The sequence below is a fragment of the Homo sapiens genome, chromosome 6 (genome assembly GCF_000001405.40).
Source record: "Homo sapiens chromosome 6, GRCh38.p14 Primary Assembly".
Taxonomy (NCBI): domain Eukaryota; kingdom Metazoa; phylum Chordata; class Mammalia; order Primates; family Hominidae; genus Homo; species Homo sapiens.
Window position 1 is genome coordinate 37,730,247 of NC_000006.12, and position 4,213 is coordinate 37,734,459.

The 4,213-nt window shown below is 49.7% G+C and overlaps 1 annotated feature.

The window, feature by feature from the left end:
- Positions 1,664-1,713: an enhancer, noted in NCBI's record as "active region_24478". NCBI's record gives its function as "activates an Ori minimal core promoter by ATAC-STARR-seq in GM12878 lymphoblastoid cells {active_cell/tissue: GM12878}" and the evidence as "EXISTENCE:reporter gene assay evidence [ECO:0000049][PMID:35858748]".

Consider the following 4,213-nt stretch of genomic DNA (forward strand, 5'->3'; position numbering starts at 1 on the left):
TCTTGGCCAACATGGTGAAACCCCGTGTCTACTAAAAATACAAAAAAAATTAGCCAGGCATGGTGGCATGTGCCTGTAGTCCCAGCTACTTGGGAGGCTGAGGCAGGGGAATCACTTGAACCCACGAGGCAGAGGTTGCAATGAGCAGAGATTGCGCCACTGCACTCCAGCCTGGGTGACAGAGCAAGACTCTGTTTCAAAAAAAAAAAAAAAAGAAAAAGAAAATAACATCTTCAGAAGAAAAAGCTCCAATGGTGGTGCCAGGCTGTGGCCAAAAGGGAGGGAGGGTCTTTTACTACTCTCCTAATCCTCCGCATTTGTGGGGAGGACGGAGCAAAAGAGACATTTGGCGGGAGGGCAGAGCAAAAGAGAGGAGGGACACTCTTTACATTCTTTGTGATGGAGCAGATCCAGCTGGAAAAATTCTAAGATGAGGATATTGAGATATTGAGAGAGGGGGACTGAGGAAGGACTGAACCATCTTCCCAGGGGTCATTGGCGGGGTGTTCAGCATGAGCATGGAGAGCATAGCCCTCCTGATTTGGGAGGGAAACCTCAAATAACTCTCCCAACCAAAACATGAAACATCTACTGTTGGATGCACTTTGTGTCTAGAACATCATCTTCAACAAGCTTCTGATTTCCAAGAGGGGATCACTGATAGAGCTCCTATGAGGTGCTGGGCACTGTTCTGGGTGCTAGGAATACAGTGTGAAACAAAACAGATAATATCCTGGGCTTCATGAGACTGATATTCTAGTAGCACTGCACATTAAACCCATGTTTTTGTCTTTGTTTTTGTCTTTGTTTTTGTTTTGTTTCATTTGAGACAGGGTCTCAATCTGTCCCCCAAGCTGGAGGGCAGTGGTGCTATCACAGCTCCCTGTAGCCTCCACCTGCATGGCTCGAGCAATCCTCCCACCTCAGCCTCCTGGGCAGCTGGGACTACAGGTGCCTGTCACCACACCCAGCTAAGTTTTTAAAAAATTCTGTAGAGACAGGGTCTCGTTATGTTGCCCAGGCTGCTCTTGAACTCCTGGGCTCAAGTGATCCTCTCGCCTCAACCTCCCAAAGTGCTGAGATTACAGGTGTGAGCCATTGCACCCAGCCTAAACCCATGTTTCAGTGAAAATTAACTGCTCGGTTCACTTGCAAGAGCAACAGGTAATCCAAAGCACAGCCTAAAGGCTGTGACAGAATGAGACAGAACAAGTGAGTTTTGATCTGGGTTTGATGTGGGAGAAAGCTCTCGTTCAGGAAAGAACCAGTCTGGGAGTCCAGAGGCTGGTTAGAAATAGATCAGGAAGCTTAAGCAAGTCACCTTCCCTCTCTGGACTTTGGTTTCCTCATCAGTACAGTAAGAGTGCTGCACTAGGTAGGGGGTATATTCCAGCCCTGAAATTCTCCAGGCCTCTGACACATTTGACAACTTCTGGTCCAGCTGCCTCCTCACATCGATGTTTCAATCTCTTTAAATCTCTCAGGGCCCCTTGAACCTGCCTCCCAGCCTCTATTCCCCTCCCTGAGATCACTGCAAATGCCTCTAGAGTCAGATGGTCCCCTCTCTCAGACCGTAAGCTCTCTCTACATCTTTAAGAGGAGAGGCCAGGGGATAGACTGTCCTGGGACTCTTCTCCCTCCAGAGAAAGCTCCTGGCCCTGGATAATAGCTCCAGAAAGAAGACAACTCCACGGACCCTGACAAGAAAGGCCTGAGGTTCAGAGGCTTGTGATCTGCAGCAACCCGCCTACACGCCCTGTTTCACAGATAAATGGGTGGAAGCTGGCCCCGCCTTCTTGCCCACCCATTTCTCCGCCTACAGGTCACCCTTCTGGTACTTCCTCCTCCTTCACAGTCTGGTTGAGTTGTACACTGAAGGATGCTAAAGATAGGCAGAACCCAGGAGGCCGTCTTGTCCAAGCCCTATGTTTGACACTGAGGAGAGCAGAGATCAGAGTGGTTGAGTGACCTGATGGCAGTCACACAGCCAGTTGGCAGAAGGTCTAGCTCCAAAGCTGTATAATTTGGGCTTAGTCTCAGTACCAGGTTTGGAAAAAGGGGCCTCCCTGGTGTCTGGGAGAACACAGGGTGTCCTCTGTGGTTCAGTCCTGGACATGCTGGCCCTTCTCAGTCCCAGGCCAGGACAAGAGCCTGGGGGCGATGACCTTCCTCCCAGCCCAGTCTCTGTCCCATGACAATTTTTTTTTTTTCTGAGATGGAGTCTCGCTCTGTTGCCCAGGCTGGAGTGCAATGGCGTGATCTTGGCTCACTGCAACCTCTGCCTCCCGGACTCAAGTGATTCTCCTGCCCCAGCCTCCCAAGTAGCTGGGATTATAGGTGCACACCGCCATGCCCGGCTAATTTTTTTGGATTTTAGTAGAGACGAGGTTTCACCATGTTGCCCAGGCTGGTCTTGAACTCCTGAGCTCATGCAATCCACCCACCTCGGCCTCCCAAAGTGCTAGGTAGGATTACAGGCATGAGCCACTGTGTCCGGCCAACAATTATTTGTTTTAATGTCCATTTCTTCCCCCACTGTTCTCAGTAACAGGGGGTGACACTGCAGCCTGCATTCATCAGGCTCTGTGCCAACTAGTTTTCTGCCACTTTGGGGCAATAGGAGGCGCTAATGAGATTGGAAGGCAAGAAGAAGGGAAAAGCTGGGTATTTGCTCCCCGCTCCCCCCGCCCCGCCGCTTTGCCTCGGTTGGCATCTTTAGCAGCTGCTGCATCTCCTTCGTGGCTTCAACTGCTGCCCGACAGGCCTGCTGCAGTTCCTTGGGGGCCCACTAATACCTTCCTCCCTTTGTCTTGCAGACTCAGGGCCATAGAGTTTCTTACTCTCACTAGTCTCCACATTGACCCCATCATCTGTTATATGGCTTCTCCATGCTCCCAGCACTTGTATAACCAATCTCCTGTATCGCATTCCTCCTGTTGGAAACATCTGAAGTGTCTTCTGCTTTCCTGTTTAGACTCTGACTGATGGCCCTCTAGAACCACTGTGCTAGGGGAAAATAAAGAGGTCCTTCCACCTCAAACCCCTCTTTGTCCCTCTCTGGCTTCCCTTCCTACCACAGTTATTTTGTTCATTCAGTCAGTCACTTAGTTCATGACTATTTGTTGAGTCCCACCCATGTACCTAGCAAGTTCATGGTTCCCAAACTCTGTGCCAAGGTACCCTGGGGCACCACAGTGAACTCACAGGGGCAGTACGGGATATTTTAAATTTTCTTTTTTTTATATTTCAAGACAGAGCCTCACTCTGTTGCCCAGGCTGGAGTGCAGTGGCATGATCACGGGTCGCTGCAGCCTTGAATTCCCCGGGCTCAGGTGATCCTCCCACCCCAGCCCCTTGAGTAGCTAGGACCACAGGCATGTGCCATCACCCTCAGCTAATTTTTGTATTTTTTGTAGAGGTAGGGTTTTGCCATGTTGCCCAGGCTGGTCTTGAACTCCTGGGCTCAAGTGATCCCCCAACCTTGGCCTCCCGAAGTGCTGGGATTACAGGTGTGAGCTACCACACCTGGCCTTAAGTTTTCAAAGAAAACAGTAACACCACACAAGCTTGAGGTAGTTCACATTCATACTAAACATTAGATTGCACTACATACATTTCTTTTGATGATGTCATATCTTTGCGAAGATAGATTTTCATTGATGCGAAAATCAATGCGAACAAGAAATGAGGATGAGGATGGTGTTCGACCTGATTTCAAGGTTTGTCAATGGGCCAGGTGCAGTGGCTCATGCCTGTAATCCCAGCACTTTGGGAGACCGAGGTGGGTGAATCACTTGAGGTCAGGAGTTCGAGACCAGCCTGGCCAACATGGTGAAACCCCATCTCTACTAAAAACACAAATATTAGCTGGGCCATGGTGGTGCACATCTACAGTCACAGCTACTCAGGAGGCTGAGGCAGGAGAATCGCTTAAACCTGGGAGGTGTAGGTTGCAGTGAGCTGTGATCGTGCCACTGCACTCCAGCCTGGGTGACAGAGTGAGACTCTGTCTCAAAAACAACAAACAAACAAACAAACAAACAAACAAAAGGTTTGCCAACAGGCACACAGATTCTGCCAGTTAGTAACTACAATTAAGAATGAAATAAGGCCAGGTGCAGTGACTCGTCCCTGTAACCTCAGCACTTTGGGAGGCCCAAGGCAGGTGGATAAACTGAGATCAGGAGTTCAAGACCAGTCTGATCAACATGGT